The 24,491-nt window shown below is 44.3% G+C and overlaps 1 protein-coding gene across 12 annotated transcripts in view, besides 5 other annotated features; it reads right to left on the bottom strand.

Moving 5' to 3' along the window:
• Nucleotides 1-19,569, bottom strand: part of ATG16L1 (autophagy related 16 like 1) — a 43,997-nt gene extending 24,428 nt beyond the window's left edge. For 4 of the 12 annotated variants that reach the window (NM_001363742.2, NM_030803.7, NM_017974.4 and 1 more), the window contains exons 1-6: nucleotides 19,300-19,569; nucleotides 15,047-15,140; nucleotides 8,007-8,112; nucleotides 7,177-7,250; nucleotides 6,099-6,350; nucleotides 1,175-1,240 (exon numbers count right to left, since the gene is read on the bottom strand). In NM_001363742.2, the coding sequence (NP_001350671.1) occupies nucleotides 1,175-1,240; nucleotides 6,099-6,350; nucleotides 7,177-7,250; nucleotides 8,007-8,112; nucleotides 15,047-15,140; nucleotides 19,300-19,414 (707 nt within the window). In that variant the 5' untranslated portion in view covers nucleotides 19,415-19,569. The remainder of the gene's footprint in view (nucleotides 1-1,174; nucleotides 1,241-6,098; nucleotides 6,351-7,176; nucleotides 7,251-8,006; nucleotides 8,113-15,046; nucleotides 15,141-19,299) is intronic. The other 8 variants (XM_006712608.4, XM_047444848.1, XM_047444849.1 and 5 more) reach the window with 4 other exon arrangements.
• Nucleotides 5,193-5,262: a silencer, noted in NCBI's record as "silent region_12469". NCBI's record gives its function as "represses an Ori minimal core promoter by ATAC-STARR-seq in GM12878 lymphoblastoid cells {active_cell/tissue: GM12878}" and the evidence as "EXISTENCE:reporter gene assay evidence [ECO:0000049][PMID:35858748]".
• Nucleotides 9,058-9,127: an enhancer, noted in NCBI's record as "active region_17337". NCBI's record gives its function as "activates an Ori minimal core promoter by ATAC-STARR-seq in GM12878 lymphoblastoid cells {active_cell/tissue: GM12878}" and the evidence as "EXISTENCE:reporter gene assay evidence [ECO:0000049][PMID:35858748]".
• Nucleotides 9,428-9,517: an enhancer, noted in NCBI's record as "active region_17336". NCBI's record gives its function as "activates an Ori minimal core promoter by ATAC-STARR-seq in GM12878 lymphoblastoid cells {active_cell/tissue: GM12878}" and the evidence as "EXISTENCE:reporter gene assay evidence [ECO:0000049][PMID:35858748]".
• Nucleotides 19,282-19,981: an enhancer, noted in NCBI's record as "active region_17335". NCBI's record gives its function as "activates an Ori minimal core promoter by ATAC-STARR-seq in GM12878 lymphoblastoid cells {active_cell/tissue: GM12878}" and the evidence as "EXISTENCE:reporter gene assay evidence [ECO:0000049][PMID:35858748]".
• Nucleotides 22,762-23,961: an enhancer, noted in NCBI's record as "P300/CBP strongly-dependent group 1 enhancer chr2:234155927-234157126 (GRCh37/hg19 assembly coordinates)". NCBI's record gives its function as "activates an origin of replication core promoter dependent on BRD2, BRD4, P300/CBP, MED14 and CDK7 cofactors, with strong dependence on P300/CBP, by STARR-seq in HCT116 cells {active_cell/tissue: HCT116}" and the evidence as "EXISTENCE:reporter gene assay evidence [ECO:0000049][PMID:35650434]".

The following is a 24,491-nucleotide window of genomic DNA, read 5'->3' as shown; positions in this document are numbered from 1 at the left end:
ATCCTACCTCGGCCCCTTCCTGTATGATCTTGGGCAGGATGCTCAACCTGTCTAAATTATCCCAGTCAACCCGGTTATGCAAATGACACTTTTATAAGCTGTTATTCTGAAGAAACCAAATCTCATTTCCAGGTCAACTATTTATTTACTTTGTGGCTTGGGAAAATACAACTGAGATTAATCTTCCACATCTGAGAGTGCAGACACACACGTACCCTACATATCTAAAGCAAAGGCATGATATGGGAACCTTTGTTTCTTTGTAAATTAAGACGTTAGTTGGTGAATGACTCCTAGTTGAATTTAAACCCCTCCACTTACAGGGAAGCAACCAACATTTTAAAAAATAGTGGATCAAAACTCTAAAACTATATTCCAAAACACATTTCAATAGAAAAGAAACATCCTAGAGCGAAGGAAACTCTTTTCTACCACTATGAAAGCTTCAAATCTCAGAGAAGATACCCCACCTTAACTTGTAGGCAGATTAGGAAAAGCTCCAGAACTAGTTTGATTCCTTTTGTTCCAAGAGATCTTAGTTTTCGCTTAAGTTTCCACTTTAAGTTACAAACCAAAGGGAGCAAGGAGGGAAAAAACAAACAAAACAACAACAACAAAAACCCCACCGCATTACATGGCAGGCACAATTAAGAGGCAGAAAACTGATCGTTCAAAGTGTCAACAGGAAACAGTGAGGCAGTAACGGGTACTGAGTGCAGGAAGTTAGAATTCACATTCACAGCTGATGAACACAAACTTTTTGGAAGGTTATTTGGTGATGTTCCAAAAGCTTTGACCCATCAAATTTTATTTTCAATAATCTATCTCAAGTAAGTAATCAGAAATAGGGTCAAAGGCCGTATCAGTACATGATTTGTGAGAAATTAGAAGCCAGCAAAATACAATTAAAATGATATATGGATGTTAGTTCTGAGTGGTGGAAGAACTGTATGTTTTCATTTTCTTCCTTTAACATTTTTCTTTCTAAAATCTGTAAGATGATTTTACAGAAATAAAAACATTAGAAGCTATGATCACACCACTGCACTCCAGCCTGGGCAACAGAGCAAGACCCTGTCTCAAAAAAAACCAAACAAAAAAAAAAATAAAAACAAAACTTTTAAGAGAGCCAAATTTTCAGAAACACAGTTTTGATTCATTTATCTTTACTTACTGTTCGACTGGTAGAGGTTCCTTTGCTGCTTCTGCAAGCTCTTTCTGCAGCCGGGCTTGCCGCCTCCTGTTGGGAAAAAAAAAAAAAAAGCCCACCATTTATGTCTGCTTAAGAAAGCACGGGGTTTGGGCTCTCTAGAAGCCACCAGTTCTAATAACACATTCAGTGCATGTAAAATAACAACTACCCTGAGCAAAATACTCAAAAGTCACAAGCCCAAACTCATAACATCAGTAAGGCTCCCCTTTTAAAGGGTTTCAGAGTAAAGCCTAGAAGAGAGATAGGCCACATTATTAGAGAAAGCAGTGAACTGGCAAAGGAGGAGGCCTGCCTTCTGGGACCAAGGGTATCTTAGGATAGACACATGCCTCAGGCTCACTGAGGGTTAGTCATGGTTGTGACTTAAGTTTTCTGCAGCAAATAGTCTTACACGGGTTGAGCATCCATTACTCGAAATGTTTGGGACTACCAGTGTTTCAGATTTCGAATTTTCTCAGATTTTGAAGTTTTGCATAAACATGATATAAATCTTGAGGACAGGATCCAGGTCTAAATATGAAATTCAGTTGAAATTAATGGTAAATCGGAAATCTGAAGTGCTCCAATGAGTACTTCCTTTGAGTGTCATGTTGGCACTCAAGAAGTTTCAGATTCTGGAGCATTGTGGAGTTTGGGATATGGGATGCTCAACCTGCATTAACACACCCACAGCCTGATTACTAACAGTGAAGATTTACTTAGGACTTCCCCTTACCTGACATTGTTAATTACTTTACAGACTTTAACTCATTTAAGCCTTATAACAACCTTTTGAGGTAAATATCATTATTGCCATTTATAAATGAGGAAACTGAGGTATAGTGAGATTCTTGAAATGTCAAAGTTTACATAACATTAGTAACTTTAATTTACTAAAGCTTGACATAGAAGTCTTGGCTGTGACAAATTTTTAACATGGTCAAAGTCTCATCCACTAACTCCCCTTCTCAGAATCATTTTTGTCTCTCATTCAAGTCCTAAATTCAGAAACTCCCTAACTCCTAACCCTGACCTTACTCTCTCTTCTTTGATAAATTTCACTTCTAACTATGGCTATGCCTGCTAGGTGGAGGACCCCTAATGTAGAACTCTAGCAATGCTACTGAGCTGCAATCAAGAATTCTGCTGAAATTTCTCGTAAGTTTTTACCACGGTGGTAATTCTCAAAATGAAGGAAAGTCCTCTAGGCAGTATAGCAGAATCTTGGGAAGGGATGTGGGTATAGCTTAAAAAGTGCATTACACTCTTGATTTTATACCTGGAAGATGAAAAATAAGTTTTACAGGGCAAATTACCAAAAATACAATTTATCCAAATTGTCTTAGCTGGTAGAGACAACTGTGAACTAACTCTCTTTGAGGAAAAACCAGAATCTCGGTATAAGGTGTGTGAGTACCACTACTCTATGATTAAAGCACTTGTTGACTGTCTGAAATCTACTTTCTATAACTTCAGGTCCCAGTTCTGCAAGGTGGAGATAAAAACTTGACTTAGGGTCACAGGGAGAGGAAAACACCACCTGTTATCAGGGATTCATCACTATAGCTGAAAGGAAAGGTCTTTAATAGCTCAAACAGAGTCTCTCTCTGTCACCCAGGCTGGAGGGCAGTGACATCATCTCGGCTCACTGCAATCTCCGCTTCCTGTGTTCAAGCGATTCTCCTGTCTCAGCCTCCTGAGTAGCCGGGATTACAGCCACCTGCCACTACATCCAGCTAATTTTTGTGTTTTTAGTAGTAGAGACAGGGTTTTGCCATGTTGGCCAGGCTGATCTTGAACTCCTGACCTCAGGTGATCCACCTGCCTTGGCCTCCCAAAGTGCTGGGATTACAGGCAGCAGCCACCGTGCCCAGCCCTGAGTGCATCTTATGAAGCAGCCACTGTGCCTGACCACAGGGACACGTGGCAGCATAAGGGAAGGAGGCAGAGTGTGAAGAGCTATCTCAAAACAGTGTGCTACATATGGCCCAGGTAAACCACAGCTGCCTGAAGCAGGAAGATGAGGGACATCTAAGCTGGGGAGGCAGGAAGTGGGTAATGACGCAGGAAGGCTTCTAGGAGGAGAGGCTACCTAAGCAAAGTAATGAAGACTCCTCAGGTCCCACATCTGCAATCACATGATACCTCCAAGTGCACAGCCCTAGGAAGATGCTTCAAAGGGTGGGCTAGGGAATGAGGACAGCATTTTCACTAGGAAATGTGCATTACCCCCCGTCCACTGCACTGCTCAGGGGCTCTTCCTTGGCATCACCACACATCTCCCCAACTTCTCCCTCCAGCAGCCTCTCAGCTGACGTGAACATGCAACCTAGCAGCATCCAGCTCACCTGGGGCCCCCAACACCCTCACACTGCTGTCAAGCTCCATGGCATAAGCCAAACAATTCTGCTTAAAGTAAATGTGAGACAGAAACAATACAAAAAGGACAGCTTATTTTTTCTTAATAGAAACCGGAAAATTAGAAAATACAGGTAAGTATAAAATGAGAAATCAAAAACCATAATCTCACCACCCCCAAAAATAAACACCAGTAACAGTACATATAATTCCTTCCAGTCATTTTTTTAAAAAAGTATACAAAATTGGGATCATCTGTATGAAAACATTTTGTGTCCTATTTTCGGTTATATTAATTTTAGGCATTTTCCACAGCACTAAGTATTCTTTTCGTTTTGCTTTTGAGGCAGAGTCTTGCTCTGCTGCCCAGGCTAGAGCCTAGTGGCATGATATTGGCTCACTGCAACTTCCACCTCCCGGGTTCAAGCGATTCTCCTGCCTCAGCCTCCTGAGTAGCTGGGATTACAGGCATCCGCTACCACACCCGGCTAATTTTCGTATTTTTATTAGAGACGGGGTTTCACCATGTTGGCCAGGCTGGTCTCGAATTCCTAACCTCAAGTGATTCACCTTCCTTGGCCTCCCAAAGTGCTAGGATTACAGTGTGCGCCACCACACCAGGCCAATCTTACACCTTCTAACAGTATTTTTATATCCATTTACAGTATTTTTGTATCCATTAAGTAATCTCTCTTTAACCTCCTTCCCCACTACTCTTCCCATGCTCTAGTAACCACAGTTATACTCTGTATCTCTAGGAGAACATTTTTCTTTTAGCCCCACATGTAGAAGCACGCAGTATCTGCCTTCCTGTGCCTGGCTTATTTCACTTAATATACTGTCCTCCAGTTCCATCCAAGTGGTTGTAAATAACATGATTTAATTCATTTTTATAGCGAATAATATTCCATTGTGTGTGTGTACAGCACATTTTCTTTATCCATTAAGCCAATGATGAATATGTAGATTGATCCGTATCTTGGCTATTGTGAATGGTGCTGCCACAAACATGATGGTAGTGCAGATTATCTCTTTGATATGCTAACTTGTTTTTCCATCATCACCCTTTAAAAGACTCTTTCCTATCGTCATTTATTCCCTTTAAAAGACTCTTTCCTATTGTCATTTATTCACTTTTAAATTAACTGGAATAATCTCTTCAAACTCGAAACTACTGATATGGGGATTTAAAAATATGTATGTTCTAATCTGTAGAGCTTTTTTGTTTGTTTCTGGATGGGGTCTCGCTCTGTCACTCAGGCTGGAATGCAGTGGCACAACTTTGGCTCACTGTTGCTTTAACCTACTGGGCTCAAGCAACTCTCCCGCAGCAGCCTCCTGAGTAGCTGAGGCCACAAGCACATACCACCATGCTCAGCTTTTGTTTTTGTTTTTTGTACAGATGGAGTCTCACTATGTTGCTCAGGCTGCTCTTGAAACTCCTGGTTTCAAGCGATCCTCCCGCCTCCGCCTCCGCCTCCGCCTCCGCCTCCCAAAGTGCTGGGATTACAGGCATGAGCTACTTACTGCACCTGGCATCTGCTGAACTTGTGTTAACAGCTTTTCAGCTCATTTTCTTAGGTTTCTAGGTGGGTGATCACTCCTTCTTTTCAATGGTTGGTTGGCCAGAACATCCAGATCGGTGTTCTCTGTGAGTTGTGAGAGTGAACCTCTCCTTGTTCTCTTGCAGGTTTTAGTAAGAGTGTATATAGACGGTTGATCAGTGGACCTTGACCAGGGGATGACTGGGCTCTCTGGGGCAGCTTTTAAACACGCACATTTTCCACAACAGAGATTCAAATTCCTAACGTAATTGATTTCTTGATAATCCATCTTTTAATTCCCATGTCTCAGTAGGTTTCAGATTTATCTTAAATAAATAGACTTAGCAGGATTGCAGGGAATTCTTAAAAAATCTATCAATGGCCAGGCGGTGGGGCTCACACCTCTAATCCCAGCACTTTGGGAGGCCGAGGCGGGTGGATCCTGAGGTCAGGAGTTTGAGATCAGCCTGGCCAACATGGTGAAACTCCACCTCTACTAAAAATACAAAAATTAGCCAGGCGTGGTGGTGTATGCCTGTAATCCCAGCTACTTAGGAGGCTGAGGCAGGAGAATCACTTGACCCCGGGAGGTGGAGGTTGCAGTGAGCCAACATCATGCCACTGCACTCCAGCCTGGGCAACAGAGCGAGACTCTGTCTCAAAAAATAAATAAAAATCTATCAATGAGTCTGATTTAGGAATTTCACATCTATATTCATATAAGGTTGGATTATAGTCTTCTTGTGCATTAGCAAGATCAGAATTTTTATATGGATACAAAAAGCTTCACAAAATTATGGGGAAGAATTCTAATTGTGGTGTATTTCCTTTTTCTAACTCTGGTTTAATTTATATTGTTCAGAATTAGCTTTTCTCCTTGAAACACTGAAAGAATTCCCTGGTAAACCTCCTGTAGTAACTGCCAGGTTTATCTCTTTCTTTTCAAAGACCTAGGTTCTACTCTACTAAGGATGGAAACCACTAACTGTGGATTGATAGCCCACCTGGAGTCTTTTTCATTCTCTGCATTAAGCCGATTGGCTTCCTGGGCTTTCTCAGCCATCCATCTGGTGACCAGCTCCTGGTTCTCTTCCGTAGTTTTCCTCAGTTTTCCCTCCAAGGCAGTAAAAGTGATCTGCAGGGCATCATATTCATCCTTCAGGGTCTGGTTGGCTCTTTCAAGGTCACAAAGCTTAGTGCGCAGGTCTAGGCACTCCGTCTCCAGGTCAGAGATAGTCTGCAAACATTCTGCAATTCTGGAAGCATGACATCAGAGGACGAATAGTACCTCGCCAGAGCCCTGTGCCAGAGCCAGACGGACCTGGCTGAGTGCTTAACACTTTGTGTCTGTTACAACATCTTTTAGCCAGGCCCATCCCCATGGTTTACAGGATAATCCATTAGGAGAGGAAACACCTAAGGTGAAATTCATCCTATTAATGACTAGGAAAAACACGATGTGAAGGAAGAGAAACTTTCGATGCTTAGATTGGTAAAGGGGATTTAAAAGGAGGCTGGAAACCGTATATATTTCACCAGCTCTGACATTTCCTGAGCAAAAGCCTGAGCAAGCGCCCTGCCTTTCCAAGCCTCTAGACCCCTTTCCACATATTAAGGAAACCCAAGCACACGCTACCCCAGCTCCAAGGTCTCAGGATTCAGAGTCCCCATTTATCTTGTCTGCCAGGCTTCTCCCTGGTCAGCAACAGTTTTGCTCACAAACTCATTTCCCTTTTCCCAAGGGCCATGCGCTCAGCTATCCTGGCCCTACCACCTCCACCACAGGAACATACCAGCTCCCACACACAGCGGCCACAGGAGAGCTGCTAGTGTCTCTGGGCCACTTGCAAGAGCCAAGGTGACATCCCTAGGAGGATGCTAGAAGCCTGTGGGCACTGTCCTTGCTTTTTCCTTCTCAGAGCTGGTAGAAAAGGATCCCAGAGTGTGTATGCACTGAAAATCAAACTCTCGCTAAGTGCACTGTGGCCACTCACTGCCACTGGCCCTGCTCACAAGAGGTCAGCAGAACAAAGGACATGGGACCCAATGACCAGGCTCCAAGGAGGCGGGGTCTCTACTCACTTTGCTTCATTCATCTGCATCTCCCTGTCCTTCCGCTGCATTTGGTTATTCAGGTCAATCACCAGTTGAGCTAACTGGGAGATAAAGAAGAATACTTTCATAAATAAAAATTTTAGGACCTCATTTGGAAACTACACAGTGGGTGGCGATTTATTTTTAAGAAAGAATAAATGAGCTGGGTGACAGCAAGGAGCCGAGGCGCCTATGGGGACACAAAGGGGAACTATCCCTGCCACTCCCTGTTGAAGGACAGCTTGGCTGGAATGAGAAGTGTTCCAGGTGACTGCCAGGGGCTTGCTGAGGACAGCTGTCTACTCCTCAACTTCAGCTACCTTTTTGGAGACTCATTTCTGCTGAAAAGATAATCAATTCAGCTGTACTGATGGTGAACTGTATTTTCCCAACTGGAGCTTTGCCGTAAGACCACCATCCAGGCGAACACAGCCTAGGACTTGATTCTTTCTCACGAATGTCTCTGAAATTTCAGGGTTTGTACTGAAAAGCTTTATGAAACCATCAGTGAGGCCTTCAGCGCACCAGGTAGCAGGCTTTTTTGTTCTTTAAAGCCTCTCCACTCTTGCCTCTCATGCTGATTTTGGAGCATGGTAACTGGCAGCGCTCTCACAGGATTGCCCTTCTGGTGATGGGCCTCAATCTGCCTGGTCTTTTCATTCTGTTTTCCTCACCCTTTTATTCCTATGGAGGGGACTTTTGATGCCACATATGGCTAAGGCTGCTGCCAATTCTGGTGAGAAGTGACTGAGCTCCCCCGCTCCCCACAGGACTCTCATAGAGGGCAGAAGACAGATGAGGAAAAGGGCTAGCTTTACCTCCCCACGTTTCTTGTGTAATTCAGTCAGTTCCTCTTGGTGCTTAATCCTCAGTTGGGCCATTTCTTGTAGCTGATTGTCATTCCATGTGCCATCATGTCCGGGACTAAATTGGCAAACCAGGCAGATGAAGAGAATGTGCAAAAAACGGAGGGGGAAAAATGAGACTCCAAACCTTTCCAATTAGGCAATGAAACCATAACTCCAGAAACATGTTCACAAAGCCAATAAACCATTCGGGTGTCTCCAGCAGCTGCGGTTACAGGCACTATGAGTGGAAAGGAGGAGACATGAAACACATGGAAAAAAGCAAAGCAACTGTGACCATCAGGCACATCAGGAATAAAGGGTGGAAAGTTCCTGAATGAAGTCCCAGTAACAGGCACCAACAGGGCCCACTGGCTCAGCAAGGACCTGAGTGCCGATGACGCAGCAGTGAGTGCAGGGCTCTGCTTCCACACAGCTGACAGTCAACTGAGAGCACGTGTGAGGTCAGCAGTCACATGTGCTTGCAGAAAACTCAAGCACAAGAAGGGGAACAGAGGGAGGGGGTCCTATTTTAACGTAATTGAGGAGGGTTTCTCCTACGTGACACATGACTAGAGACTGTAAGGAAGTGAGGAATAAGCCATGTGGACCCTTGAGGGAAGGGCCCTCTGGGCAGAAGGAGCAGCAGCAGCAGAGCCTGGAGAGGTGTACAGCAGGTGGTGTATTTGGAGGAAGGGTGACTGAAGCCCAGGCACAGGGGGACAGAGGAGGTGCGGTCAAGGACGAGGTGGGGAAATGATGCAGAGCCTTGTGGGCACCTCCGAGGGCTGTGAGGTTTACTAGGCGTGAAGGGAAGCTGCTGGAGGGCTCTGAGCAGCTGAATGACTTAGGTTTTAAAAGGAGAGCAGATTGCAGTGGGGTAAGGGCCGAAACAGGAAGACCAGCCAGCAGGCTACTGTGAAGTGCAAACATGGGACAGTGCGGCTCAGACCAGGGTGGGAGCAGTGAGGTGAGATACGGTCTGATTCTAGATCCATTCCAAAGACAGCGCTAACAGGACTTGACTTTGAATTGGCTATGGGGCATGAAGACAGATAGGAGTCAAGGATGAATCAAGGCTTTTGGCCTGAGCAACTGGTAGAAGGTAGGTGTCACCCACTGAAATGGGCAAGACTGTGGGAGGAGCAGGTTTTGGAGGAGACCTAAAGAGTTCGTTTGTGGCCATTCAAGTGAAAACTGAGTACTGTCAAATGGAAACTGAGTATTAAGAGTCTGAACCTCAAGAAGAAGTCCAAGCTGGAGGCTAACATGTAGACACTGTCAGCAAACAGATGTGCCTAAAGCCACAGGAGTGAGTTCAGATCACCTCCAGAGTCAATGCAGTTTTGGAATCTTTGCCAAGTGTTTGCATAATATCTCAGATACAGCAGAAGACAACTAGAACTGTGGATTTATAGTTCGAGAGAAAGCTGGTGTCACAGGTGAGAATTATCAGACTATAGTGAGCAGCTGAAACCACTGTCTAGGGAAAGCTTGTAGATGGAGAAAAGGAACAAGGCTGGACACTTGTTCCTCTCATCCAACATCCGATGAGAGCGGAAAGAACTGCCCCCTCCATATGACCCAGAATAAAATAAAAAGAGGGGGATAAAGGTGGTAGTATAGCAGTCCTTCCATCTCTATATGTATTGTTATTACATAGCTAAGCACAAACTAATACCTTATCTTGAGGCAACCTGGCACTTCCCCAATCTTAACCCAAGAAGTAATGCCAAGAGATTAGACAGTGGAACACACTTTACATGAAACCATCCTAAATCAGGCAGAATAATTATCAAATCTCCCCCACCTTTTAAAAAATTATTGAGATGGTATCTCACTATGTTGCCCTGGCTGGCCTCGAACTCCTGGACTCAAGCATGTAAGATGTGGACCCACCTTCCAAGGAGCTGGCTAGCTATAGAACAGATTCATGAAATAAAAACTAACAACAGGCCGGGAGCGGTGGCTCAAGCCTGTAACCCCAGCACTTTGGGAGGCCGAGGCGGGCGGATCACGAGGTCAGGAGATCGAGATCATCCTGGCTAACACGGTGAAATCCCGTCTCTACTAAAAATACAAAAAATTAGCTGGGCGTGGTGGCGGGCACCTGTAGTCCCAGCTATTCGGGAGGCTGAGGCAGGAGAATGGCATGAACCCGGAAGGCGGAGGTTGCAGTGAGCTGAGACTGCGCCACTGCCCTCCAGCCTGGGCGACAGAGCAACAAAAAAACAAAGCAAAACAAAACAAAAACTAACAACACAAAGAAAAACAAAAGTGTATCAAAGAGTGACGATGGAAAGTGTTAATCATGTTCAGAGGCAAAGATTTCCCCAGACAAGGATGGTTTCATTTTGGGAGGGGTTTCCAAAGAGGAACTAAAGTAGGAATCTCCTAGGAAGGGCAAAATGGAGGCAAGATCATCAGGCAGAGGAGCCTCAGGATTAGATGCTTAAACTTCAAAGTCTACCAAGACACAGAACACAACAGAAATGCTAGGAGAGACTAAGGCAAGCAGGATACAGCTCTTTCCATGACCCAAAGCCTCCAAGGACTTCTTATTTTACTTACAATGAATATCAGCCCCCTAAAGTGCTTCGGCAAGTAGAAAAAACAATCACTCCGAGGGCATGTTTCAAGCACAGATTCCTGGAGCCCACTAACAGGTGACCTGCTTTCCTGGCAAGGCCCAGCCATCTGCATTTCTGACTTTCTGCGCTCTGGTGATGGGAATGTTGCTGGTTCCAGGAAGTCTGAGTAGCAGTAAAGGTGGTAGTGCTCAAACTTCAGAGGTCACTACAATCAGCTAAAGCATTTCTGAAAACACAGATTACCAGGCCCCACCCCCAGAGTTTCTAATAGAGTAGGTCTGAGGTGGGGCCCAAGAATCTTCGTTTCTAACAGTTTCCCAGAAGATGTCACTAGTCCAGGAACCGTGCTTAGAATAAACAATTTCGAGGCTGAAGAGTTTGATTTTAAACTGTAGGCAAAGTGATGAAAATACTTAAGAGAAAGTCTGATAACTGATGCAGATCACTATTTAAGCACAGTGTGCAGTGTTTTACGGTTAATTAGGATGAGACAGGCAGGAACTTTGGAGAGACAGGAAGGAGGGGAAAGGAAACCAACAAAGTGCCCAGCTTCTGTGAACACCCTTACATTCTCTAGCAAATGTCCCTTTGAGTTGGTCTCCCCCACTAGACTCTATTCCTCCTCAGAGCAGGGACTCTGGCTTACTCATCTCTACAGCCCTAATGCCCAGCCCACACTACGGTCACAGGAGTCTTTTGAGTGAATGAGGCTCTCACCACAGTCTGGGAATAAGAAGATAAATAAACAAAGGAGGTGGCAAAATAAATGCAAACCAAAGGATGCAAGAGGCTAGGGGGTGGAGAACCAATGGGCTTGGTGAATATGGGGAATATGAGGAATAAAGGAATATGGAGATGGGAAGATCTAGAGGGAAGAAGGAACCATAGATGACTAGTGGAAAACAACGATACTGTGAATGGAAACAAAGAAGTCAGGAGGGCAGGCTTATTATGGATAATGTTTGTGGAAATGGAAAGACTGAACAAGGGGTAACCTGATGAAGCCCACCGTTCAACCTGCCTTGCCTGCTTTTCATCACTTTTTTCTAGTTCCAAACTCCCACTAGCAAGTCGAGTTGCCAAACAACACATAACTAAACTCCCAATAGCTTCCTTATAAATAATAACTGACTGTGGCTCACTACAATAACTGGTGCTTAAAGTTTTTCTCCAGGAACTAGGAGGCAGCTCTTGCTCATTAAAGCTGGTTGAGACCCCCAACCCTTCAACTGGGCCTGTGTGAATGCCCAAGAGGTGATCTTTTGACATCAGAGGGCCAAAACACTCCTCCCTCAGATGGTGCTGACGCCACCATTTTCTGCATGTGTCCTATGAGGAACCACAAAGCTAGATTATGCTTGCGTGGAAGCCCCAATTACCTCATCTTTCCTACCCACCAATCACCTCTTCCCACACTTTAGACCACCCTGCTTTCTACTGCCTAAGTACCCCCAATCCCTGTTTTCAAGGAGGTGGATTTGAGACCTGTTCTCCTGCCTCCTTGCTTGGCCACGTTATGAATAAACTCTCACAAAACCCATCATCTCAGTGATTAACTTGCTGTGTGTGGGCTGAATGAACCTGGTTTATAACAAGACCTCCAACTAAATGACCATCCCCCTGGGTGTGGTGGCTCATGCCTGTAAACCCAACACTAATGGAAGGTTGAGGAGGGAGGATCACTTAAGCCCAGGAGTAAAGACCAGCCTGGGTAACACAGTGAGACCCCTATCTCTACAAAAAATTAAAAAATTAGACTGGCATGGTGGTGCACACCTATAGTCTCCCAGCTACTCAGAAGGCTAAGGCAGGAGGATTGCTTGAGCCCTGGAAGTTGAGGCCGCAGTAAGCCATGATCATGCCACTGCACTCCAGCCTGGGCAACAGAGAGAGACCCTGCCTCAAAAAAGTCTATCCCAGTGAAATTTAGCCAAAAGAACGGCTGCATATTCCAAGCACATGAGTTTGGCTAACAGATAAAGAATACAAGAATATAGTCATCAAGGGTTTAATCAGATAGAAATGTTTTTAGTTTTCAATTGGATGAATTTAGACGAAAATGGTGAAACAGCATTATCTACACCTAAAATTAACCAAAATACTAAAACTAATATCTTAAGTACTACAGAAGGCCTCCCAGGGCCACAGCCAGGCAGGATCTCCTGAACTGTTACAAAGCAAGGATGGAAGCTAGGCCCTGCCAAGCCATCTGTTCTCTGGTATCTTTCCCACTCTGTCCTCTATCAGGAGACCATCGTGCCAGATGAGGAGACATGAGAGCAGCTACAGCTCTAGGAGTAAATACATCAGGCTACAGCTACCATTTCTAGACACCATAAATCACCAACCTTGTTTTTACAATTGCTAAATGTGTGGAGATTTCAGAGCAATAATGGCTACTGTCCCCATACCAAATTTAACATGCAAACACAATGAATATTACAGAAGAGGATAATAAGACTTCAAATATACATAAATGCACACCAGTGACCCAGTAAACACAAATACCCCGCCATGAACAAATATGTATTTCATGAAATATTCTATCAATACACACCAAGAGATAGATATAGATATATAGATATATAGATATATAGATATTTTTTTTTTTTTTTTGAGACGGAGTCTCGCTCTGTCACCCAGGCTGGAGTGCAGTGGTGTAATCTTGGCTCACTGCAACTTCCGCCTCCCAGGTTCAAGCAATTCTGTCTCAACCTCCCGGGTAGCTGGGATTACAGGCGCCCGCCACCATGCCCGGCTAATTTTTGTATTTTTAGTAGAGATGGGGTTTCACCATCAGGGCCAGGCTGGTCTTGAACTCCTGACCCTGTGATCCACCCGCCTTGGCCTCCCAAAGTGCTGGGATTACAGGTGTGAGCCACCAAGCCCAGCACACACTGATATTTTTCTAATCTAGTTCTTAAAGAAAAATAAGAGCTTACTGCAATCTGCTAATTTGATTTCACAATCTACTAATACTGATGTTCCTCTACTTACTGAGGCTATGTCTCTTTAAACCCATCAGAAGTTGAAAATATATAGTAGGTTGAAAATACATTCAATACATCTCACCTACTGAGTATCATAGGTTACACTTACATTAGCCTACAGTTGGGCAAAATCATCTAACACAAAGCCTATTTTATAATAAGTTGTTGAATATCTCATGCAATTTATTGAATACTAAACTGAAGGGGAAAAACAGACTGGTTGGATGGATACTCAAAGCACAGTCCTACTGAAAGTGTATCGCTTCTGCACCATTATAAAGGTTAAAAATTGTAAGCTGGGCTGGGCGCGGTGGCTCAAGCCTGTAATCCCACCTCTCTGGGAGGCCGAGGCGGGCGGATCACGAGGTCAGGATATCAAGACCATCCTGGCTAACACGGTGAAACCCCGTCTCTACCAGAAATACAAAAAATTAGCCAAGCGTGGTGGCGGGTGCCTGTGGTCCCAGCTACTCGGGAGGCTGAGGCAGGAGAATGGCTTGAACCCAGGAGGCGGAGCTTGCACTGAGCCCAGAACGCGCCACTGCACTCTAGCCTGGGCGACAGAGCGAGACCCCATCTCAAAACAAAACAAAACAAAACAAAACAAAACAAAAAAAATTGTAAGCTGGCCAGTGCGGTGGCTCACGCCTGTAATCCCAACACTTTCGGAAGCTGAGGTAGGTGGATCATTTGAGGTCAAGAGTTCGAGACCAGCCTGGCCAACATGGTGAAACCCTGCCTCTACTAAAAATACAAAAACTAGCCAGGTGTGGTGGTGGGTTCCTGTAGACCCAGCTATTTGGGAGGCTGAGGCAGGAGAATTGCTTGAACCCAGGAGGTAGAGGTTGCAGGTTGCAGTGAGCTGAGATCGTGCCACTGTACTCCGGCCTGGGTGACAGAGTGAGACTGTCTCAAAAAAGAAAAAAAAAAAAAAGAAAAAGAAAAATTATAAGTCGAACCACTGCAAGTTGGGGACCATTTGTATGTTGAAAAAAACACCAACCTAAAAAGGATCAAATAGACCCATACTGCAGGAAAGCAATTTTTACGTATGTGCCAATCAATCCTACATTAACAGGATCTACACAAACCCGCTCAGAAATACTTGTCTGTGATTATTTAAAAACAAAGAAACAAAAAAACATGAATCCTGGCAGGTTAGATGAGAAACTGACCTAGGGTTACCACGTGAACCTGCCTTAAGAAATTTCTCAAGCTCAGAGCACTGTACTGATAATAACCTTTCTAGGTATGACATACCTTCTAAAAAACAATTGTAATTACATGGTTTTAGTTCTTATTTGAAAGGAGCTGACAAAAACTGGAACACAGAAATAGTACTTGATTTGCTTTTAAATTAGAGAAGTGACAACTGAACTGAGATAAATTTCCTTAGAGGAGACATAAATAATACAAGTTAGTTTCAAAATACCTTATCTCGTGCCTGTTTGGTACGTCATGCTTTTCAGCCTGTAGTTTCTGGGCCAACACTGAATGAAGATCTGACTTTTCCAGCAATTTGTTATCTATTAAAATAAAAAAGTCAGAAACTAAGTTATTTATTACAACGTATGTACACTTGCTAGGTACCTACCTTGTCATGTATTGAAGGATGCAATACAGGAACATACATTCCTCAGCCACAGTAACCTACAGAATCACCTGCAAGAATGTCTTCCCTATTAAAGGGAGCTGAAAATGCTTTCTACCCCAGAAGTTATTTGTTTCTACCTTGGGAGGAAAAAAGAAAAACACACTAAACACAATGGCAAAGTGAAATGCTATGTACCTTTAAGTAAGACAGGAGAACTTTACCATAAGTTGACATATCTAATTACTTTTTAGGTCAGGGAACTAGAAATACAAATGACAGTCTCCAACATGGAGTTAACATTTAATTCAGTCAAGTATAAAAAGGTACAGAGAATACACTCTGTACTCATTTTTATGAATGGTGTCACAGGAGGTGATATATGAGTTAAGTCTTAAAAGAAGATGATGGGCCATGCAGAAGGAATAACAGAGTCTTTTGGTAAGTGGCTGGAAATAAAGGTTGGAGCCAACACAGGAAAAAGCAGGATCAGAAATTTAGACTTCTTACTGGCAATGATTAAATAAAAGATTATAAAAGCAGGCCGTTACGCTAACAGATCTGTATTGGTAAAAAGTCAAGGATTATTCTGAGGCTCCTCGCTCAAGCAACTGGGCGGAGGATGCTAACGTGTGAGAGAACACAAGAGGGGAGAGCTTAGAGAGGAAATGAGTTCTCTTTCCAAACATAATAAATTTGACAGGAGACAGAGTACAGAAATTCAAAACACAAGATTAGAAAGAACACGTAGTTAAGTGTAATAGGCACACAGGCCTATTACTGTGGCTCACGCCTGTAATCGCAGCACTTTGGAAGGCCAAGGAAGGCAAACTACCTGAGGTCAGGAGTTCGAGAACAGCCTGGCCAACACGGCGAAACTACTAAAAATACAAAAATTAGCCAGGCACGGTGGCACTTGCCCACAGTCCCAGCTACTAGGGAGACTGAGGCACAAGAATCGCTTGAACTCGGGAGGCAGAGGTTGCAGTGAGCTGAGATCGCGCCACTGCACTCCAGCCTGGGCGACAGAGTGAGACTGTCTCTAAATAAATAAATAAATAAATAAACAAATGAAATGAAATAAAAAATAAGAGTAATAGGTACACAGGCACCAGTAAGATCAGATGTGGGTACCTGTTCTGCAGGTACCAAGCAGAACAAGACAGGGTTTATGCTAGTGACTATTCCTGTTAAAAGAGCTTGTTTCTCCTTTTAAAGAGTTTTGAGTCCCACTTTTTGATACCTGAAAAGAGAACTCCTGGGTAGAAACACTCTCATCTATTGGTCAAACGAATTAGCCAAACTGGACATTGGTTTCAACCTGGGAAATTATGGTTTAAAATCCACCAGTGTCAAAGGGCTCTAGTAAGACCTTCAGATGTTAAACCAAAGCTTAGTGCCCTGTGATAATTTTAGGTTCTTTCAAAAAACACAGGCGTTCAAAAGGAGTCCTTCCCAAAGGTTCCTCCCTGAAGAGAAGGCTGGAGATGGAGGGAAGCCTTTCCCTCCCCCTACGGCTTCTTTCCACCTTTCTCTTCAGACTCAAAGGCACGGACTGAACAGAGAATAGACTCCAGGCTGATGGAGGGTCAGAGCTTGACTGGCCTGGGAAGGCTGGAATGAGTGGAATGAAGGTGTTTCACAAACTATAATAGAAATGATCTCCCTAAATGTCAATCCCTCTGCCTAAACAGAAGATCTTAACATGCAAAGCCTGTCTCACTCTCCTGCCTCTTGTTAGCTTCTCATCCCGGTCTCCTGTCCTGGTCCCTCAGGCAGGTATTACTCGCTACTCTAGCACCCTTTAAAGCTATCTGCTCTCCACAAGTGACCTCTTATTCTGACTGTTCTACATGCTCCTGCCCCATCAAGATGCCATTTTCAAAGTGCAGGAAAACATTCCATTTGTGTCAAAGAGATAACGCTTTACAATTACAAGCTATTATACAGATGGCTTTGAAAGCACTTATATGCACAGCACTGTTTTTATGAAGTGGGCAGGGCAAGCTTCATCCCCATTTTATAGATGAGGCAAAACAGACTCAGAAAGTAAGTGAAAATGTTCAGTGAGGGGTGAGTCAAGCCTCCCACCCAATTTGACTTTCAAAGGATATTAGCTTTTAAAGCATAAGCACCTAATAAGCACCTAATGAACTGATTTATGTCATCTGTCAGGGAATCATGTTTTGAGGAAGAGGGACTTCTTGTGCTTCTGGCTTTCTGAAACAGCACTGTTCTTCAGGGCCTCCTAGAACAGCAAAGCATCCTCTTTCTTCTTAGTTTTGTTAAAACAATGGGTGCAGTGAAAGCAAAGAACCATTTGCTGGGGGAGCCAGTGAGAAAAGCAAATGCAAAAGTTAGTCATCAAGCCTAAGTTCAAATTCCAGTCCCGGCTGGTCACTGTGGCTCATGCCTGTAATCCTAGCACTTTGGGTGGCTGAGGCAGGTACATCACCTGAGGTCAGAAGTTCAAGATCCGCCTGGCCAACATGGTGAAACCCTGTCTCTACTAAAAATACAAAAATTAGCTGGGCGTGGCGGTGCTTGCCTATAGTTCCAGCTACTAGGGAGGCTGAGGCAGGAGGATCTCTTGAACCTGGGAGGTGGAGGTTGCAGTGAGCTGAGATCACGCCACTTGCACTCCAGCCTAGGTGACAGAGCAAGACTCTGTCTCCAAAAAAAAAAAAAAAAAAAAACAAAAAAACCCAGTCTCACCATTAACCTGCTGTGCAACCTCAGAAGTTACCTAATCTCTCTTGGCCTCAGTTCCATGTGTGAAAATGGCAATAACAGTTCCTGCTTCATACACAGAATTTTGGGAAAGATAAAATAACACATGCAAATACTTACCACAGTACTAAAATTTGTCTGCACAGTAGTCATTTGGGAAGCATCAAAAAACACTGATAACTTGGCATGCAGTTCTAGGCTTAATCTCACACAAACACAAACACACACACACTGATACTTGTGTACTGTGATACTTGTGATTTAGTTGGTCTGGGGTGTGGCTTGGGATTTGTAATTTTTTAAAGATCCATAGGTGATTCTAATGTGGAGCTAAGTTTGAGAACTACTGATTTTGCACAATCAGAATGCAATATAAGGTAGCAATTATTATTCTGAATATCATCAACAGCATAACTTGAGAAAGTCGTCAGGTTTACTTTCAGACGCAGATGGAACCACCTTAGGACCATTATAATTTAGGTAAAGGTACAAACATTTTTGTACCCTTAAGCTGCAAGCAGTAAGGGGAAAGAAAACCACCTCTTTCATACTGAAGATTTCAGTAACAGTAAAGGTTCTGTCCCGCCTAAAAGATATTACGATATTAACACCAAGGTGGGGCCGGGCTCGGTGGCTCACGCCTATAATCCCAGCACTTTGGGAGGCCGAGGTGGGAAGATCGTTTGAGCGCAGGAGTTGGAGACCAGCCTGGGAAACACAGTGAGACCTCGTTCCAAAAAATTTTTTTTTAAAAAAATTAGCCGACCGTGGTGAAGCGCGTCTGTAATCCCAGCTACTCGGGAGGCTTAGGTGGGAGGATCACTTGATCCTGGGAGTTTGAGACTGCAGTGAGCCGTGATCTCCGCCACTGCACTCCAGGCTCGGCGACACAGCAAGACCCTGATCCCCTATCCCGTTTCCCCGCAAAAAAAACCACCAAGGTGGAGTAAGGGAAGTAAGTTTGAGGAATCAAAGGCCACCCGTTCCAGTGCATTGAGAAGGCAATGTTAATTCTGCGACTGAAAGTCAACGACCGTTTCATTAACATGACCCCATAGATGGGATGTTTCTGGGACCTATTTAAGTGCATAAGCATTGTATGAGCTACTGGGATTTACAAATACAAACACGAACTGTGCCTCCCCACAAAGATCGTACAATTTAATAGGGAAAATCCTCCAAAGATAAAACGCAGGTTAGAAAAAACATTTAAAAGGCGTGCGGCGTCCCAAGCGCGGGTTACCCGGGGCGGCCGCCATGCGTGCGGGCGGCGCCAGGGACTCGGCCTCAGGTTCCCGCTGACGCCCCGCATGCCTCCGCGGGGCCCGCCCGCCCCACTCCCAGCCCGCACCGGCGCCGCTCACACTGCAGGATGATCTCCTCGAACGCCTGTCTCTGCAGCCGGTCCCGGCGCCTCAGTTGCTCCGAGATGTGGCGCTTCCAGCGGGGGAAGTCAGCGGCGCGGAGGCCCGACGACATGTCACTTGCTGCCCCGGCACCTCAGCGCCACCAATGCGAGCGAGGGCTGACGGCCGCAGCCTGCAGCATGAAGCAACCAGCAGAAGCGGGAATGCCGGCAATCCCGGAGCTCACCTCCACACACTGGCAGTCCCCGAGGCCATCCGGGACGGTCTTCCGGCTCATGCCGGAAATGATTTTCGAGAGGGCCGGAAGACCCGCCCCCTCACCCGAAGCACGGGCTCAGGAGCCGGTGCCTACGCAGGGCGCTCGCTAGTGACGCCAGCCTGTAGCCGGAAGCGTCAGCTGCAGAGAGGTGGCCGCTTGGGGGCGTCCGGGCCCTGCGCAAGGCCCAGCGCCGGGCGGGAAGGAGGCAGGAAAGGGGCCGTTTCCGCCTGACTGCTTACTTTTCTTTTGCTGCTTTTCAACCCTTTTCGTGTTTTTTTTCTTGGCCTGTCTCCCCCCACTTTTATTTTTAATCGCAGTTTAGGAACAAATGGGGTTCCCTCCATAGTAGCTCTGTGGCTGTGGATGAGTGACAGCCTACCTAAGCCTCAGTTGTCTCATCTGTAAATGGGGACAGTAATGATACCTACCTCAGAAGGTTGTCACGAATAGTAAAAAGAAAAACCCATGTAATGCAGTCAGCACTGTGCTTGGTACAGGGGAAACCTAAGTTTACAAAGACACCTGGTGTCTTCCCAAGGCCTACCCTGACAGCAGGAGCATTGCCATCTTGGACAACTGCCACCATTTTAAGTTCCCCTTGATTAAGAAACTGCCTAAATCCAACCCAAAAACATCAGCCTAATGGCTAATGTCAGCATAACCAGAAACATTCCAACCCTAAGATAAACCCACTTCCAACCAGAAACATGCCAACCCAGAGATAGCCTCCCCTCCGGCCAGAGACTTTCCAACCCTGCAATAAACTTTCCCTCATACAGAAACATTACGAACCTGCAATAAGCTCACCGCTTCGTAAACCCTTAAACACCCTTAGTGTGTAAGAGAAAACGCTCCTGACCAAAATCGACAAGAAGCCCCTCTCAGGTTTATTCTCCAAAATAAACCTGTCTTTGATTGTTAAGCTGCTTTTCGTGTTTCTTTCTTGTTTCTTAACTCTTACATACCTGAAGTCAGGGTGCGTTGGGAAGAGTGTCCCACTGAACTTGGAAACAGGTTTTGTGGTTTGTTTGGGGTTTTTGTTTTTGTTTGCAATGGAGAAGAGAACTGGAAACGGGAGCTAAGAAAGATGTGAATTGTGTATCAGAGTTTGTCTTCATTGTTAGAATCCTAGAAATTGTGGCCTGACAATAAATGGAGCCTTAGAAGGTAATCTGAGGCTGTAGATGTTGAAAGGGGGAGATGAAGACACACTGGCTCCTGAGAAAGTTGTGTCTGTGAACAAGCTCAGTAGAATGGAAAACCCAGTTCTGTAATAGAGTTGCTGGAGCTCCATCTGCCTTTAACAATTAGTGAATTTACTGCATGAAAATGGAGCCAGACAAAGTAGTTGGCCAAAAGAGGAAAGGAATATCAGAAACTACCTTCTCTTCCAGTGTGTCTCAAGTCCAGAGGAAGGTCCTTCAGAGACAGATAAGAAGAACTTAGGCTGAGGAGAGGAGGACAGTCAGGCTTCTAGCACTGTAGTTGAAGATGGTTCACTGGTAGTCAGTATTGAGTGGACCTGAAGTCGTTGGAAGGATCCAATGGGATCAGAAATAGAAGTGACTTCCTCACACGCTGAAGAAAATGAAAAAGTTCTGAAAGTGACCGAGAATGCCTTCAAATGCAGCAGTGGCACCACCCTTAAAAGACCATTACACCAAATCTTGACAGTTGAGCATGTTAATTTCCCACATTTATGATTAAAATATGTTTCCAAGGTTGGGCATGGTGGCTCACACCTGTAATCCCAACACTTTGGGAGGCCAAGGTGAGAGGATCACTTGAGCTCAGGAATTTGAGACCAACCAGCCTGGGCAACATGACACAACCTGTCTCTACAACAATACAAAAAATTAGTTGAGTGTGGTGGCGTGTGCCTGTAATCCTAGCTACTGGGATGGGGCTGAGGTGGGAGCATCGCTCGAGCCTAGGAGGTCAAGGCTGCAGTGAGCTGTGATAGCACCACTGTGTTCCAGCAGCCTGGTCAACAGAGCAAGACCCTGACTCTCTCTCTATATATATAAAAATATGTTTACAAATTTGCAGTTTGCCTAACCAGCAATTCCACTTGCAGGAATTTATGCCAAGAAATATTTGGACACATGTCCACATACAAAAATCTTTGTTGCAGAATTGTTTTTAGGTTGGTGTAAAAGTAATTGCGGTTTATAATAATGATGAGAAGTTGGAGAAAAAAATCTACATTTCCAACAATAAGAGATTGGTTAAATTACTGTACATTTATTGCTGGAAATTGTTGATAGTAACAGCAGTATATGTCATAATTTATGTAAAATGAGTATGTCCCTAGCTCATCATAGACAAATATTTGTTGAACACATGAAGAATAATTTCTAAAGAAAGAATATGAAGCTCTGCTAGTCCTGCCCTCCTCCTAACTCACCAGCTTTATCTAGCACACAACCACAGCCACGCTGAAGCCTCTTACTTCCTTCTGCTTACCGTGCTCCCTCTCGTTGCAGGGCCTTTGGATTTACTGTGTTGGGCACATCTTCCCTTCTGACTTCTCCAAATTAATTTCTGTGTGTTCGTTCTCATTTCAGTAGTCACTTCCTCGCAACAGTAGGATGAGAGACCTTCACAACCTGTTACAGATCTTATCTCCCTGTTACGCGTGTACCTCTCCTTTATAGCATTGATCCCAGTTATAGGTTCACATGTATTTGTATCATTACTTGATAAAGGTCTGTCTCCCCCAGTAGACTGTAAACTCCATGAGACAAGAGCTGTGTCTGTTTTTGCACATCATTATATCTCCAGCAAGAGCATGAAGCCCTTTATGTATTAGGTGCTCAGTAAATGTTATTTAATTAATGAATGGAATATGTGAAAATACTGATAATAGTATTATCTGTAGGCAGTGGTGTTGCTGGGTTTTTTTCTTATATGTGTATTTTATATGCATTTTCTAATAGGTAGACATTATATATATATATACTACATATGCATGAAAAAGTTGGGCCGGGCGCGGTGGCTCACACCTGTAATCCCAGCACTTTGGGAGGCTGAGGCAGGTGGATCACCTGAGGTCAGGAGTTCATGACCGGCCTGTCTAACATGGCAAAACCCCATCTCTACTAAAAATACAAAAAATTAGCTGGACGTGGTGTCAGGCGCCTGTAATCTCAGCTACTTGGGAGGCTGAGGCAGGAGAATCGCTTGAACCCGGGAGGTGGAGGTTGCAGTGAGCCGAGATTGTGCCATTGTACTCCAGCCTGGGCGACAGAGTGAGACTCTGTCTCAAAAAAAAAAAAAAGTTATAGAAATAAACACATATTTATTGATGAAACCACTTATGTCAAAGCATGGTAGACTCTGGGAGATCACAAATAAGCAGGAACACTTCTACAGTGCTACGGGCTGTGCATTCTTCTGAGTAGTATTTCACATATTATAACTCATTTCCTCCTCACAATAATCCTGCTCAGTAGCATCTTCATCCTTATTTACAGACGAGGAATCTGAGGCACAGGGAGGTTAAGTAACTTGCATGAGGATACCTGGCTAGTAAAGTGGCAAGACCTGGGTTCAAATACAGGCAATTTAATTCTAGCATCTGTGCCTTTAACCACTGCACTCCATCATCCAGTCTCTGTTCTGGCTGTCACTGCAGTATGACTGGACTAGAATACATGAAACAGAATAATTTTTAAGTAATATGTGACTCACTCCTAAATTAGCCAATAGGGAGGGCAACCTGGTGAAGAGCAAAGTCAGTGATGGGGAGGCTTCAGGTGTGTTCACAGGCCCTGAGGGGAATGACTGGCTGGAGGGTGAGTAATACAGGGGATGAGTAATAGGAAGGAGGAGGAAATAGGTTGTCTGAATACTCTGGTGACAAATAACAGATCTTGAGAGTTTTTATATTTGTTCTGGTAAATAGTGATTGTCTAAAGGATTCAGCATGCTTTGCTGGGAAGCAGCATCTGTGAAATGGAGTCTGACTGCCTATAATGGATGTAAGATAAATGTAAAATATCCCAAGATTCTTGTAGCAATATGTTAAGCCTCACGAATTTGCTCACAGGAAGTAGAAAAGGCGTCACTTATCAAAGGACTTTTTTTGTGGAAAGTCTAGTTTCACTGAACCAAAGTTCCACCAGCTTTAACATAACAGCACCTCTGTGGCAGCATTTCCACTGCTAAAAACTTCCAAGAGATTCTCACCTCCATCATTGATGCCTACACATCTCATCTGTGAGATCCTCTAGTTATGCTCCAATTCAGAGGAATTCAAGGGCCAACCTTCAAACTATTGTCCTATTTACTCTTTTCTCTGCCCTTTGGGTCTTCCTGATTTCCTTTACCTTCCACTCAGCAGGTTAAAAAAACAGTGCAATTCCAGTGTGGGTTGGGCATAGGGATGGGCATCCTGACTTCAAAGAATTCACTCTAGGAAGGGAGATTGGAACACGTATCAGTTATGGGTGCAAGGAACATAAAGTACAAAGAGCCGGCCTGATGGCAGTACCAAAGGGATTCAATTATCTTCTGTTGGTTTTTCTCTAGCTTTTATTCTTAAAATCTCATTTCCTATTATTCTTTTAAAAAATTATCTTAGTCTTTCTTTATTTCCACTCCTTTTCAGCTCTTCCCAAAATTATATTACTCAAAGTGAAAATAAACTAAGTTAACTGTGTTACTGTGTTAACTGCTGTATAAACCCGATAGCTGCTAGAGTAAACCAAAGGATAGTCAAGAAACCAACTAACACAGGTTTCCAGACACACCACTGAGCCTTCCAAACCTTATTTATTTATTTATTTATTTATTTTTATTTTTTGAGATAAGGTCTCACTCTGTCACCCAGGCTGGAGTGCAGTGGCATCATCTTGGCTCACTGCAACCTTCGTCTCCTGGGTTCAAGCAATTCTCATGCCTCAGCCTCCCGAGTAGCCGGGATTAC

Source organism: Homo sapiens, chromosome 2 (assembly GCF_000001405.40).
Source record: "Homo sapiens chromosome 2, GRCh38.p14 Primary Assembly".
Classification (NCBI taxonomy): Eukaryota; Metazoa; Chordata; class Mammalia; order Primates; family Hominidae; genus Homo; species Homo sapiens.
This window is presented reverse-complemented; position numbering and strand designations above follow the sequence as displayed.